We start from the raw sequence: 16,235 nt of genomic DNA, 5'->3' as shown, positions 1-16,235 counted from the left end.
TCACTGGTTAAGATATTGCACTAATACTTCATCTCTGTAAGGTACAGATTTTTTTCTCATCTCTGCTGAGAATTGAGACTTCTCATCCTTTTCCTTTATGTAGTATGAAATAGCCTTTAACTGATTTCTTTCAAGTATAATCATATAATGTATAAAGTTCTGTTTTGCAGAATAAAGAAAAACTGGAGAAACTGAAGAGTCAAGCAGATCAGTTTTGCCAAAGACTTGGGAAATATCGCATGCCTTTTGCTTGGACTGCAATCCATTTAATGAATATTGTTAGCAGTGCTGGGAGTTTGGAAAGAGATTCTACAGAAGTAGAAATCAGTACTGGAGGTAAGAGTGTTTCATACAAAACATTTCTAAATGTTTACTTTTTTCTTTTTTTTTTGAGATGGAGTTTCGCTCTATGGCCTAGGCTGGAGGGCAGTGGCACGATCTTGGCTCACTGCAACCTTTGCCACCGGGGTTCAAGCAATTCTCCTGCCTCAGCCTCCTGAGTAGCTGAGATTACAGATGTGCGCCACCACGCCTGGCTAATTTTTGTATTTTTAGTAGAGATGGGGTTTCACCATTTTGGCCAAACTGGTCTCGAACTCCTGACCTCAAGTGATCTGCCTGCCTCGGCCTCCCAAAATGCTGGGATTATAGATGTGAGCCACCATGCCCGGCCTCTTTTTTCTTATATAAGCTTGTTTCATTTGTAGACTCTGCAATGTAATATTGCATAAAAAGGATTTTCTTTTTTCTTTTTTTTTGCCTTTTTCTCATTTAACACCATTATTAAGATATAATTCACATACCATATAAGTCACCAATTTAAATTGTACAATACAGGAGATCTTCAAATATCTCATTTTGTTTTTGATTTTTTATAATGTTGATGAGGAAACAAATTGATTCCTGGCTGGAGCTACTGTCTGTGTAGAGTTTGCATGTTCTCCCCAAGTCTGTGTGGGGAGTTTTGGGTACTCATTTCCTCCCAAATCCCAAAGCTGTGTGCATGAGGTTAATTGGCATGTCTTAAGTGGTAGCAGCGTAAGGTAACATGGGTGTGTGTGTGTGAGTGCACCTGTGATGGAATAGCGTCCTGTCCAGGACAGGTGCCTGCCTGTCGTGCGGGACCCCTATTGACTTTGGTAAGTATAACATCATATCACAGGCTGAAGAAGAGATGGGGAGCCAGAGAATGAGACATAGGGTTTACTGAGGGAACTTACATGCAGAGTGGCGAGCTGGACCGAAAACCACAGCCACTTGAAAAAGCATGCAGTTTATGTAGCATTTTCACTTAGCATCCTCCCCCTAGTAACTTCTACCTGGAAACCCTCATTTAACCCAAAACAAAGGGCCTTGATTCCATGTATGGCCTAGATTTCACTGGATGGGCTAGAAGTTCAGATGTCCTTATTCTCATAGATAAGGAATGAGTCTTCAAGTTTGGCCACTCCCAGGTTCCTTAGCTCGGAACTCCGAATACACATTCTTTTTAGACCATAGGGTCATTCTCAGGGCTTGCTTAAGTTACTGCTGTCGGGTGCATTTGCCATACACTGCCTTCTTTCATGCGCTGCTGGAACAGGCTTCGGCCATTTGTGACCCTGAACTGGGATAATTGGGTAAATAATTATCCTACTTATTTTTATTAATCTTTCTTAAATGTATGTACAGTGCACATTTATTTGAATGTTTAATATTAGAAGTGTTTTGAATATTTAGAAGTTTGGTTAAGTTTTTGTGACCAGAAATATGCTGTAGGGACTTAACTCTTGCTTATATTGATTAGCATGTGGTAAAATTGATTTGTTATACAACGTGTTGCTTAAAGTCACAGTTTTGAAGAACTGATCCATGATGTTAAATGAGGACTTACTGTGCAGTGTTTTCTTGGTATATTCACAGGGTTCTGCAACCACTGCTACAGAATACTTCTGTATCCATCTTGGAACACTTTTGTACCCATTAGCAGTGGTCACTCCTCATTCCCCCAGAGTCTTGCAACCTGTCCCTAAACAACCTTTAATATATATTCTGTCTCTATAGATTTGTCTATGCCAGACATTTCATACATATTGACTTGTATAATATGTAGTCTTTTGTGGCTAGCTTCTTTCACTTGCCATAATGTTTTTCAGGTTCATCCATGTCGTAGCATGTATTGGTATTATTTATTTTTATTGCCAAATGATAGTCTGTTGTATTGATATACTATATTTATTTATCAGTTGATTTGGGTTTTCTACTTTTAGTTTATTATGCATAATGTTTCATAGTGTTGAAACGTCATTTACAAGCTTTCGTGTGGACATTTTTTTTCCTTAGATATGTAGATATATAGCTAGGAGTGAAATTGCTGGGTCATATGATAATTCTGTGCTTAATCTTTTGAAGGACTGCCACACTGTTTTCCAATTTGGCTGCACCTTCAAAAATTCCACTAGCATTCCACTAGTGTGTGAAGGTTCCAGTTTCAGCATATCTTTACCAGTGTAACATATTATCTGCTCTTTGATTGTAGTCATTCTAGTGCAAGTGAAGTGGTACTCATTGTAGGTTGGATTTACCTTTTCTTAAAAGCTAGCGATATTAAGCATCATTTTGTGTGTATTGGCTATTTGTGTATCTTTCTTGGAGTAATAGGTATTTTTAACCTTTGCTCATTTTTTAATGGCTTTGGTCTTTTTATTATTTATTAATAGTTGATGCCTATTTTTTAAATGGGGTTTTAACCTTCTTGGCATTGAGTTGTAGGAGTTCTTTATATGTTCAAGATGCAAATTCCTTGCCTAATATATGATAGCAAATTTTCTCCTAGTCTGTGAGTTCACTTTTCTTGATGGTATTGTTCGTAGCACAGAAGTTTTAAATTTTGAGGAAGTTACATTTTTCTATTTTTTTCTTTTGTCACTGTGCTTTTGGTGTTTTATCTAAGAAACCATTATGTAATATGAATCAAAATTTACTTGTATGTATTCTTGTAAGAGTTTTATAGTTTCAGCTGTTACATTTAGGTTTATAATAATCCATTTTGAGTTAATATTTGTATGTTGTGAGGTAGTCCAATTTCATTCTTTTTATGTGGATATCCAGTTGTTTCAGCACCATTTATTAAAAAGGCTATTCTTTTCCCATTGAATTTTCTTAGATCCCTTATTGAAAGTCAATTGACCATTCATGTGGGATTTATTTCTGGACTCTCCATCCCATTCCACTGATCTGTATGCCAGTGCTTTACTGCAGGGGTTCCTAATCCCCAGGTGGCGGACAGGTACCTGTCCTGCCTGTTAGGATCCGGGCCGTAGAGCAGTAGGTGAGCAGCAGCTGAGCTAGCATTATCGCCTGAGCTCTGCCTCCTCTCAGATCAGTAGTGGCATTAGATTCTGGTAGGAGCATGAACCCTATTGTGAGCTGCACATGCAGGGGATCTAGGTTACGTGCACCTTATGGGACTCTAATGATAAATGTAATGCGCTTTAATCATCCTGAAACGATCCCCACAACCCCATCTGTGGAAAAATTTTTTTCCATGAAACCAGTCCTTGGTGCCAGAAAGGTTGGGGACCGCTGCTATACCAAATTACTTTACCTTTGAAGGCTAAGTTTTGAAATTGAGAAGAGTGGGTCTTCCAGCTTTTATCCTGTTTCAAGATTTGTTTTGGCAATTTTGGGTTTCTTTTATTTCCATATAAATTTAGGACCAGCTGTCAGTTTGTGCACAAAGGCATCTGGGATTTTGATAGGGCTGACATTGAATCTCTAAGTCAATTTATAGATTGTTGCCATTTTAACAATTTTAAATCTTTGAATCTATGAACATGAAATTTTTTTCATTTATTTAAATCTTTTTCATTTTTTTCAGTGTTGTGTCATTTTCAGTGTACAAGTCCTTCTCTTGTTAAATTTATACCGTAGTATTTTATCGTTTCTTGATAATATTTTAAATGGAATTGTTTTCTTAATTCTGTCTTTAGAAAGTCCATTTCTAGTGTATAGAAATAAAATTGGCTTTTGTATATTGATCTTATACTCTGAACCCTTTTTGAATTTGTTTACTAAATTCGAATTGTTATTGTTCGTTTTTTTCCCCAGATTTTTTAGGATTTTCTGTATACAAAACCGTGTCATCTGCAAATAAAAAGTAGTTCACTTTTCTTTTTCAGTCTGGGTGCCTTTTATTTCTTTCTCTTTTCTGTCTTTATTAGAACCTCTTCTGCAATGTTTTAGAAATGACAAGAGTGGATATCCTTGTCTTATTCTTGACTTTAGGGAAAATGCAATCAGTCTTTCACCATCAAGTATGATATTTGCTGTTGGCTTTTCATAGATGTATTTTGGTAGATTGAGGAAGTTCTCTTCTATCCCTAATTTTTAAAAGTGTTTTTATCATGAAAGTCTGTTAGATTTTGTAAAATACTTTTTCTGCCTCTATTAGAATTATTTGTCCTGTATCCTTTTAATGTGGTGTTGCATCGAATGATGTGGTTTTTGGATGTTAAATTAACCTTAAATTCCTGGGAAAAGTCTTGCTTGGTCATGGCATGTAATCTTTTTTATGTGTTGTTGGAGTCTGTTTGCTAGTATTTTGTTCAGGATTTTTGCATCTATATTCATAAGGTATATTAGTCTGTAGTTTTTCTTTCTTTTGATGACTCTGTCTGGTTTTGGTATCAGGGTAATACTGGCCTCATAGAATGAGTTGTGAAGTGTTCCTTCCATTTTTTTGGAAGGGTTTTTGAAGGATTGGTATTCTTTGAAAGTTTGGAAGAATTCACCAGTGAACCTGTCATGGCCTGGTCTTTTCTTTGTGGTAAGTTTTTTCATTACTAACTCGATCTCTTTACTTGTTTTAGGTCTATTCACATTTTCTTTCATCTTGAGTCAGTTTTAATATAAATACTTTGAATCTTTCTAGAAATTTGTCCATTTCATCAAAGTTATCTAGTTGGTATCTAATCTAAGTGTTGGCCTACAGTTGTTCATAGTATTGCTGTATATTCCTTTATTCCTTTTACTCTGTAAAGTCTGTAAATGATATCTCTTCTTTCATTCCTGATTTTAGTAATTTGAGTCTTTTTTTTTTTGGTTCATCATTTTAGCTAAAGATTTGTCGGGTTTATCTTTTTGAACAAACAGTTTTTGGTTTAATTGATTTTTCTGTATGGTTTTTATAGTTTCTATTTTCCTTATTTCCACTCTGCAGTTGCCTCTTGTAGCCTTCTGCTGGTTTCGGATTTTTTTTCTCTTCTTTTGTAGTTTGTAGTTTGTTGAAGTCTGAGGTTATATTACTGATTTGAGATAGTTCTTTTTAAAATAGACATTAATAGCTGTAAATCCTCCCCCGAGCACTGCTTTAGCAATGCTTTGGTATGTTGTTCTTGCATTTTCATACATCTTAAATACTTCCTAATTTCTATTATTCCTTCTTTTTCCATTAGCTATTTTTTAAATGGGCTATTATACTTACATACATTTGTGAATTCCCCAAATTTTCTTCTGTTATTGATTTATAGTTTAATTCTTCTGTTGTTGGAGAACATTTTTATATGATTTTAATCTCTTTGAATGTATTGTATGTTGTTTTATGGCTTAGTATATAGACTGTTTTAGAGAATATTTTCTAAGTGCTTGACAAGAATGTATATTCTGCTCTTGCTTAGTGTACTTTAGTGTAGTGTAAATGTCCATTAGGTCTAGTTTGTTTATAGTTTTGTGCAAGTATTCTATTTCCTTGTTAATCTTCAGTCTAGTTCTGTTGGTTTTAAATAATAGGATTATCTTGCAAGTACTTTGAATACAAATTATCTTACAATTCTCTTTCAAACTAAAGAGCTAAGACTGAGGGAAGATTAACGATGACTAAAATTTTCCTGTGGTAAACATTTTGTAGTAAATGCATACTTCCTCTATAGCTGCTCTTTGTGGCTCATCATTGGTCATGCCCATAGATCTTTGCATGTTAGAAACTTATTTTTACACCTGTGATGTTGTAAAAAGACAACCAGAAGATTTAGGTACTTTCTTACTAATCTCTCCAAAAGCAAAATTCTCCTACTATACTTGATATGCTGAGTGGGTAATTTTCAATTTAGTAGATTCTTCCTTGTGTTTGGAAAGCTACTTTAAAACAAAATTTAACTTCTATGAAAATGAATTTTTTTTTTAATTCTTTTGTAGAACGAAAAGGGTCTTGGTCAGAGAGGAGGAATTCTAGTATTGTTGGCAGACGATCACTTGAAAGGACAACAAGTGGAGATGATGCTTGTAACTTGACGAGCTTTCGACCAGCTACTCTCACAGTGACAAATTTTTTTAAGCAGGTATTGTTCTGTCATGTAGGAATTTTGGGGAGATGTTTGTGCATAAATTTTTTTAATTTCAGAAAGGTAGTGATTGTACTATACATGTATGGGAGGGTGATTCCAAGAAACTTAAAAACTTTAAGAATAAAAATAATAAAAGCAACTATAAGAATGAGAAACGATTTATATTGTTCCTATTATTTTAGCATTATATTTATTTAAATGTTGAAATGTTGACCATGACTAATAATGCATCAAAATCCATCTTTCATACCTGTATCCTGTTTTTTTTTGTTTTTTTTTCTTGAGACAGAGTCTCGCTCTGTTGCCCAGGCTGGAGTGCAGAGACAGATCTCGGCTCACTGCAACCTCCGCCTCCCAGGTTCAAGCAGTTCTCCCTGCCTCAGCCTCCTGAGTAGCTGGGATTGCAGGCACCCACCATGCCTGGCCAATTTTTGTATTTTTTAGTAGAGACAGGATACTAAATGTTGGCCAGGCTGGTCTCGAACTCCTGACCTCATGATCCACCCTCCTCGGCTTCCCAGCTGGGATTACAGGTGTGAGCCACCATGTCCAGCCTGTATCCTATTTCCAAATTGTTAATAGTGTAACTTTTCTTAAACATTGGTTGTTTATGAATTTTCTTTATGAGAATGAGTATGTGGCCTACATGTCTTCCCCACACAAGTATTTCTGGCCTAAACTACCATATTCATAATATGTGAAATAGAACTTTCAGGCCCTAGGAGTGCATTTTGTGCTAAAATGAGGTCAGTGTTATTTTTAGAGGTGAATGTATGGATCCAAGACATTCTCTATCAAAGATATTTTACTCTTTGCAAACCTGTTCCCTTCACTTTTAACCATGAGTCAAATCTGTATTTTTCCAATGCCAGTCATGATTCTTAATGATAATGAAAATTAGCTTAGTAGATGACACCCAGGTTAAAAAAGAAAAGAAAACACGAGTAGAATAGAAAAAATAGTGCACTGCATGTAGTAAGGTTAAATATTGCTTTAGGGAGTCGTTCCCCCCCTCCCCCTTTTGTATGAGTGTACACATGTGTATATGTATATACTAGATTTTGATGTAAAATGGATTCTGTGTCATGAATCAAGATCAGAAAATTTTGAAAGTCTTTGTTGTAAGTGACTAGGTGACTAGAACCATATAAGAATGGGGAGAAAATTTGTATTAGCGTAACAAACTGGAGTAGTACATGTTTTGGAGTGGATTAAGGGAAAATGCTAGTAATTCCTTCAAAATTCCATTTTCTGAGATGTTATTCTGAGTAAGAAGAGGAAATCCTGGCTTACTGATATCTCATAACTTGAGAGGGCAAGAATTGAGGGTAGACCTCAATTGAATGGACCTTGAATAGACAGATAGCAATCTACTTGAAGTCCCCTTCACTGTTACATATCAGTAGTATTCATGGGCATCTGCTCTGAGAAACTCACAGGAAAAAAAGCCAGTGATAAATGTCTCAAATGGTATTGGTCTTTTTATTATGGACAGTAGTAAAAGAGAGTCTAGAGAAGACTGCACTTTCATAAAGTGATAGACCAGATATAGCTAGGAAATGGGGTAATAGATTTGCTACAGTGACACAACCTTGCAGGTATGTTACTTCCCCCTCTTTCTACTTCTTCAGCTGCTACACCACTTCTGTTGGTATTTCCACAGCTTTCTTTTCATTTCTTCAGCCTGCTGTTTATCAATAAATTGGTATTATAAGCATAAATCAATAAGCCATCTACCCCCTATCTATTTATCCAACCAGTATTTTTTGAGCATTCATCACCATGTTCTGGACACTGTTTTGAATACTGTTACTATAACTGGGAAGTAGCACAAAATGATTATGAAAACTTAAAAATAAATGATTGCTGGAAACATGGAGCAGTGGAAAATGTTTACAGTACAGAAACTGTTTAATATGGTTCTGTATTAAAAATTTTTAACCATGAGCATATACTATTTTTGTAACTATTTTTAAGTAGCTAGAAAATTATGCATCAGGCAAATGCAAATTAAGTTAAAAAAAGAGATTACCATTTTAATTAAGTAGAATTCAAGGCACAGATTTTTCCCTAAATGAGACACAGAAGGCAGTTTTTTCTTTTTCAGTTTATGAGCGATTACTGTCTACAGTAGGGATATAGTAATCATTAGTGTTTATGTACAGATTTAAAATGTGTTGGCCAGGCATGTCGGCTCATGCCTGTAATCCCAGCCCTTTAGGAGGCCAAGGCTGGGGGGTCGCTTGAGCCTAAGAGTTCAAGACCAGCCTGGGCAACATGGTGAGACCTTGTTTCTGGGTTTTTTGTTTTTGTTTTTGTTTTTGTTTTTGAGTCTTGCTCTCTCACCCAGGCTGGAGTGCAGTGGCACAGTCTCGGCTCACTGTAAGCTCCGCCTCCTGGGTTCATGCCATTCTCCTGTCTCAGCCTCCCGAGTAGCTGGGACTACAGGCGCCTGCCACCATGCCTGGCTAATTTTTTGTATTTTTAGTAGAGACAGGGTTTCACCGTGTTGGCCAAGATGGTCTCGATCTCCTAACCTTGTGATCCGTCCGTCTCAGCCTCCCAAAGTGCTGGGATTACAGGCGTGAGACGCCGTGCCTGGCCGACCTTGTTTCTATAAAAATAAAAAATATTAGCCGGCCATGTTGGTGTATACCTGTAGTCCCAGCTACTTGGGAGGCTGAGACGGGAGAATTGCTTGAGCCCAGGAGGTTGAGGCTGCAGTGAGCAATTATAATGCCACTGTATTCCAGCCTGGGTGACAAAGTGAGGCCTTGTCTCAAAATAAATAAATAAATAAAATGTGTGAAGTCAAAATTATTAGAAATACATAGATATTTAAAAAAAAAATCAAACCCACACAATAGTTTTGAAGACATTTGTTCTATTTGTTGACAGATATATGTTATCTATTTTTTTCAGTGGTACAGGACAGTAAACAACCAATGTAGAGGAAAGGGTATCAGCTAGACTACTCCAGTGAACTAGGCTCATTCACAAGTTTGGAGGTTGGCTGAGATCAGCTAATATAGGCTGACTTCTACTGGGAAGACAGAAATGACTCAGCTCTGTGACATGTCTCTCAAATTCTACTGTCATCTTCTAGCAGGCTAGCTTGGTCATGTGCTCATAGCTCTGACAAAAGTTCAAGAGAGAGAGCAAACTAAATTGTGCAAATGTTTTTCAAGCCTCTGTTTGCATCATGTTTGCTTATTGGCAAAGCAAGGCATGTGGCCAGGCCTAGGGAGGGAATTGTGCTTCACTCACCAAAAAGGCATGGAAACAGGGAGTAAAGAATGGAGACCAATAAGTACCGAAAGAGAAAATATAATTTAATGGGTGAAATAGAAATAATGAAGACTAGAAATAATCTGAATATATTATGAATAAGGACCATTTAAAAATTAATTTCATGTGTTGGCAACTTGGTCTCAAAAAATTTATATTATTTCTGTATGCACAAGAAAAGAATATACTTTTTCAACAACTGATAGAACATTTACAATAATTAGTTATATTGGGTCACTGAAGAAACCTTGTAAAGTCAGATTTTCTAACCATAACTCAATAAAACTAAAAGCTTTTTAAGTTATTAATAAAAAACTATAACCACTTAGAAATTAAGAATTATTTTTTCTAAATAGTGAGATAAAAGAAGATCAATTCTATATCCTTGTTTAGAATATAATGATGAAGAGCAAATGGGTTGTGGCTCAAGGTGAGTTGACAGTAATAAAGTAGCCTCAAATATATGCATTACCAAATAAGATAAAAGAACAATATATGAAATATGCATAAAACAATAAAATCTCAAAGCAGGAAGATTGGATTGATAAAATCTAAAGACTGACTCTTTAATAAAAGAAAAACTCTAGCTATTTTAATTGTAAGAAGAAAAAATATTAACATTAAATTGAACATTTGTGTTAATCGGCTATGGGTAATTTGTTTTGTGTTTTTCAAGGTCTCTTCATATTGGTTGAAGTCCTTTTGGAGTTTTCTTTCTGGCCTTAGTATGAGGACAGTTGTGATTTTCCTTAACAGTAGTTTCTTCCTCCTCCTATTCCTCCTCCCCCTCCCTCCCTCGTCTAAATCCTTCCTCCCTCTTCTTCCTCTCTCTTCCTCCTTTCTTCCTTCTTCTCCTCCTCACCTTAGCCAGTGCTGCAGATTTTGCATTGGAGAAATTTGTGATATAAAGTTGAAAACACAAATATGAACTAAAAAGTAATAAATTTATGAGACTCAAGTATTTTTATATTAGTTTGCTTTTTGATTCTGTTTTATGTCTGTGTTCTTATTTTTCTCTTCTCTTTTTCATCTATCTCTAACTTGTATTGGTTTTCTTTCCTTTTTTTTTTTTTTTTTTTTTGAGACGGAGTCTTTTTCTGTCATCCAGGCTGGAGTGCAGTGGTGCGAACTCAGCTCACTGCAAGCTCCGCCTCCCGAGTTCACGCCATTCTCCTGCCTCAGCCTCCCGAGTAGCTGGGACTGCAGGCGCCTGCCATCCCGCCCGGCTAATTTTTTTTTGTATTTTTTAGTAGAGACAGGGTTTCACTGTGTTGGCCAGGATGGTCTCGATCTCCTGACCTCATGGTCCGCCCGCCTCGGCCTCCCAAAGTGCTGGGATTACAGGCGTGAGCCACTGCACCCGGCCAGTAACTTGTATTGGTTTTCTATATTTGAGAGTATTTTGTAATACTTTATAGGCATAGATAATGGACTATAAATAAGAAAAAAGACAGTGGTATTATTAAATCTTAGTAAAATTTGAAAGCATAAAAAAGGAAATAAACTGGTATGATATTTATAATCATAATTTTAATTTAATTTTTTATTCTAACTACATTGTAGGCATAAGGGCATGCTTACTAACAAACTATAAATTTATTTTTCATCATATATATATCTTTATTTATTTATTTATTTATTTTTATTTTTGAGACAGAGTCTTGCTCCATCACCCCAGCTAGAGTGCAGTGATGTGATCTTGGCTCACTGCAACCTCCATCTCCCGTGATTCTCCTGCCTCAGCCTCCCATGTAGCTGGGACTACAGACACGTGCCACCATGCCTGGCTAATTTTTTTTGTATTTTTAGTAGAGACGGGGTTTCACCATGTTGGCCAGGCTGGTTTCAAACTCTTGACCTCATATGATCCGCCCGCCTCAGCCTCCCAAAGTGCTAGGATTACAGGCGTGAGCCACTGTGCCTGGCTATATTTGTTTTATCAAATACTTTTTCCTCTATTATTGAAATCAGGAAGGAGACCGCTTAAGTGATGAAGATCTCTACAAATTCCTTGCTGATATGAGAAGGCCATCTTCTGTCTTACGGCGACTAAGACCTATTACAGGTATTTAAAAATTTTGAGTAGAAATGGTTGCAACTATTATTATCACTACTATGTTGTATTGCTTATAATTATGTATCTTTTTTTTTTATTTATCTGGCCCAGACATTTTTCTATGCCCAATGCCTGTCAGTCTTCTTCACTTTATTAACTATCATGTGATCTGACAGTTTGGATGCAGGATTCAGCATCTTTGGTACTTTGAGTGCAGTAGTCCCCACTTACCTATTGTTTCTCTTTCCGTAGTTTCAGTTACCTGTAGTCAACCACGATGTGAAAATATTAAGATATTTGGAGAGAGGAACAGGGAGAAAGAGACCACATTCATGTAACATTTATTATAGTATATTGTTATAATTGCTCTGTTTTATTATGAGTTAGGGTTATTAATCTCTTACTTTGCCTAATTTATAAATTTAACTTTATTGTAGGCATGTATGTATAGGGAAAAACAGTATCTATAAGGTTGGGTACTGTCTGCAGTTTCAGGCATCCACTAGGGGTTGGGTCTTAAAATATATCCCCAGCGGGGGATGGAAGGAATTACTATACTAAAGTGAGTGTGATGAATAATATCATGGCTTAAAATTATTTTCTAGAATGGTAATAGAATGGTAAATATTAAAAAATAGATTCATATTATGATTGGAGCAAACCATTCCAGAGTAAAAATGTCTTAAAGTTTGCTAAGTCAAAACTAAGTCTTTTAATCTTTGAAATGACTTAGCTTGTTCCTATGCCAGATCCCTCTGGTTTTTTTTTCTATTTTTGCTTCTTCCTTCCTTCATTCCCATTCATTTATTTAATAAGCATTTATTATTTTACGTGCATTTATGTCTGGATCGGTAATTTTTAAGTTTGAGACTTTGCAAAATGAAATGATTTAGAGGCATGAGATGATAATAATATAAATTTGGTTTCTGTAATATTCTTCCCAGACTTCTTGCAAAAATAGGATCCAAGTCCTTTAAAAAACATGTTTAACGTGGACTTTTTTATTGTCTTTACATTGTTTTTTAATATATAATTTGCAGCTCAGCTCAAGATAGACATTTCTCCCGCACCTGAAAATCCCCATTATTGCCTAACTCCGGAGCTGCTTCAAGTGAAGCTTTACCCTGACAGTAGAGTTAGACCTACCAGAGAAATCTTAGAGTTTCCCGCAAGGGATGTTTATGTTCCAAACACTACTTACAGGTAAGAGATTTTAATTTGGAGAATTCTGATAGAAGATACTGTATATTCTAAAATATTAAAGTATAACTAGAATAAACTCTCCAAAAATCTTAAGTAGTTTTGTTACTTAACTCTATCTCTTACCGCACAATTTTATTAATAGTTTTCACGTATTAAGGCTTTCTGTGTGTCAGGTATAATGTTAATTACCTTACATGCTTTATCTTTTTTAGTCTTATTTAATCCTCATTATTTGAGGTGGATTTTACTTTTATTTTAGAGGTGAGTAAACCAAGGGTTAGAGAGGTTAAACATTTTGCTGAGCATCACACCTTAGTGTGATGGTGATGGGATTTGATTCCTGGGCCTTTAGGTTAAAACATTTGAACTCCTAATTACTATGTTTTCTCAAATGTTTTTAGTAGCAGAATCTAGCATTACACAAGAATCAAATTTATGTGCCTGCATTATGTTCTAATAAATCAACAATATTTGTTGAGTATATCCTATCTAGAGAATACTTGACATGACGTTGTCAGATATAACTTTTCAGACTGAACATTACATAACTCTGGGGGTGCCATTTGCATGTACTCCTTATGAATGATATACCCTTTATTTGTGAATGCCGAGACCAGAACTTGACATGTCTGTTGGGATATTCAGTAGGGCAGCTCAGGTATAAGATTCTAAAACAGAAATTTGGATTTCATCCTAGACTTCCCCATCCTAGTATATTTTTACCACCATTTACCAAGTTCCTGAGGACAAAATTTTTGGAATTATTATGATTTCTCTCCTTTCCTACCCCTCACATTTATTCAGCCAACAAGTTACATAGGCTCTACTTCCAAAATATATCCTGATCTGTACTTCTTACTACTTCCACCTTTTAAAAATTCTAGTCTGTCACCATCTAGATCAGCACTGTGAAACAGAAATATAATGGGAACCACATTTGCAATTTAAAATTTTATAATTGCTACATTAAAAAAAAGAAACAGGTAAAGTTAATTTTAATCATATATGTCATTGAAACCAGTGTATCTAAAGTATTATCATTTCAACATGTAATAAATGTTAAGAATTATTGAGATATTTTACTTCTGTTCTCTTCTGCTAACTTCAAAATCTAGTGTGTATTTTATAGTTAAAGCACATTTCAATTCAGATGAGCCACATTTCAAGTGCTTAATAACCACCTGGGGCTAAAGGCTACCATATTAGACAGTCTCTGATCTTGAATTTTGCTATCCTTACTAATTTGGCTATCTTATTTCTACTCCTGTCTCAGTCACTTCTCAACATTGCAGCCAGAGAATTCTTTGAAAATTGTAAATCAAATCATTCATTCCTGTGTCTGAAATTCTCCAGTGCTTCTATTACAAACAGAAAAAGAATGAATTTTTTCTAACAGTCTATAAGACACTGCATGAGTTGGCTCCTTTTCTATGTGTTAGTGCTAAAACTCTCTGTAAAACCTCTTATAGTACAGTGAAATACATCAACAATCAATTATTTCCTCCCTTGCAGAGGAAGTTTTGTAGGCTTTTTAGGCTTACTGTACAATTGTCATCTTAGAGCCTATTTACCATTATCCTGGACATTTTCTTTGCATTTTTTTTTTTTTTTGCAATAGAGTCCTTATTTTTCATGTATTTTCCTTAGTTTGCTCATTTCACTGAAAGCTTTCGTATCTTTCTTAAATAGGATGTGTGGGAGGTAAATTTTCTTTTATGTCTGACAGTATCTTTACCTTTACTCTCAAATTAATAGTTTTGCCAGGTATAAAATTCTAAATTCTATATCATTTTCTATCATAACTTTGAAAATATAACTACTGTCTTCTGGCTTTAAGCAGTACCCTTGAGTAGTCCAATATTATACTGATTGCTAATCTTTTGCGTCTTATTTTGCCCTAAGACTTTTTGAATTATTTTCTTTATCACTGGTGTTCTGAAATTTCGTGTTGACATATTGATATGATGACATTTATTTAGTGCTTTATAGAATATAATTTCATTTAAATTAGTTTATTCAGTCTCATAGAAATCTTATACATTACATAATTCTGGCAGTATTATTGTCTCCACTTCTCTACTGACAGAAGGCTGAATTAAGAGACTTGTTTGGACTTGAACCCAAGCCTTCTTACTTCATTTTCTGTGTTCTTCATCTTTTGGAATGTTAGGACATCCAGCATTCATAATTATATATAATTTGAATAAAAATAAAATTTCTCATTGGTAGAGAATTGTTTGCTACATTTTTATTAAAACAGAACACTTTTATCTTACATTAGCCTCAAAATCTACACCATTATTTATATTTGTTTAATTTTTTTTAATGTCTTACAGTTGATGTAAGTGATACACTTGATATAAATGGATTCTAGGGTATCTTTTCTGTGAATTAATGGAAAAAGAGCCAATATAGATAATCCAGACATGTTACAGAACTTAAATGGGAATTGAGTAATGCGCTCATACCAAGTGAGAAGATACCGTGCCAAATAAGGCAGCACGTTGTTTTCTCTTAAGGATGTATCCAGTTTTAATGTAACATCCTCTTCTGGAGGAGATAAAAAGTTCATACATCAAATGATTTAAGGGGATTTTATAAATTATAAGTTAGTATGGTTTTGCTTTTTGAGTTTAATGGAAATTATGTAAACATGTATTAGTGCTTGTTTAAGATCATTTGTTTATTTGGGTTTGCTTTTGGTTTTTAGGGTGGAATGCTTTCTCACTTGAAGTGGTTAGTATTGGTAAGGCTAAGTGATAGTCCAAAAACTATAATTAGTTTCTATTCTGGGAGTTAAATTTTTCAAGTATAAAAATGAATTATAGCATATTAATTTGAGAATGATGTTGAGAGATCATTTAACGTATCTCAGTGCCTTTAGTTTGGACTGTATCTAGACATTCTATTAATTACAGAGTTAATACTCATTCCAGACATTATTAGTAAAAATAATATTGTAGGCAAGAAGCTTTTAAAAAAGGACTCATTAAATGTTTATAGAATAACCATTTTTCTCTCATGAGTGAACAGTTTATTTCCAGAGAATAATAGAACTTGCTAAGCTCATCATAAAGATTAGAGTTACTCCTATTTAACTTTTATTGAATATGAATACTGATTTAGGCTTTAATGTTTTTCATCAAAATGAATTGATTTCAGATTAGGGCTTTACATAACCTTATTCCTCCTTATATACAGTTTGTAAGGAACTTATATAAAATGCTTTAACCTGTTAACAGACATTGGTTAAATGTGATATAGAATGTCAAGGCTAAGTTTCTTAGTTTATGGAAATGATCCTAGTGCTCTGTTAGTAGCAAGTACCAGTGAGAACTGTTGGAGCAAAAAGGATGCATTATTTT

At 35.0% G+C, this 16,235-nt stretch overlaps 1 protein-coding gene across 15 annotated transcripts in view, besides 1 other annotated feature; it reads left to right on the top strand.

The window, feature by feature from the left end:
• Positions 1-16,235, top strand: part of DOCK7 (dedicator of cytokinesis 7) — a 233,661-nt gene that overhangs the window by 56,811 nt on the left and 160,615 nt on the right. For all 15 annotated transcript variants that reach the window (XM_047432967.1, NM_001272001.2, NM_001272000.2 and 12 more), the window contains exons 11-14: positions 171-336; positions 6,175-6,317; positions 11,583-11,676; positions 12,708-12,870. In XM_047432967.1, coding sequence (XP_047288923.1) covers positions 171-336; positions 6,175-6,317; positions 11,583-11,676; positions 12,708-12,870 — 566 coding nt within the window. The remainder of the gene's footprint in view (positions 1-170; positions 337-6,174; positions 6,318-11,582; positions 11,677-12,707; positions 12,871-16,235) is intronic.
• Positions 8,290-8,790: an enhancer, noted in NCBI's record as "H3K4me1 hESC enhancer chr1:63088457-63088957 (GRCh37/hg19 assembly coordinates)". NCBI's record gives its function as "activates a minimal SCP1, AML or CMV promoter by ChIP-STARR-seq in primed H9 embryonic stem cells {active_cell/tissue: H9 hESC(primed)}" and the evidence as "EXISTENCE:reporter gene assay evidence [ECO:0000049][PMID:30033119]".

Source organism: Homo sapiens, chromosome 1, assembly GCF_000001405.40.
Source record: "Homo sapiens chromosome 1, GRCh38.p14 Primary Assembly".
Classification (NCBI taxonomy): Eukaryota; Metazoa; Chordata; class Mammalia; order Primates; family Hominidae; genus Homo; species Homo sapiens.
Note: the sequence above shows the minus strand (reverse complement) of the source record. Positions and strands in the feature narration are given on the sequence as shown.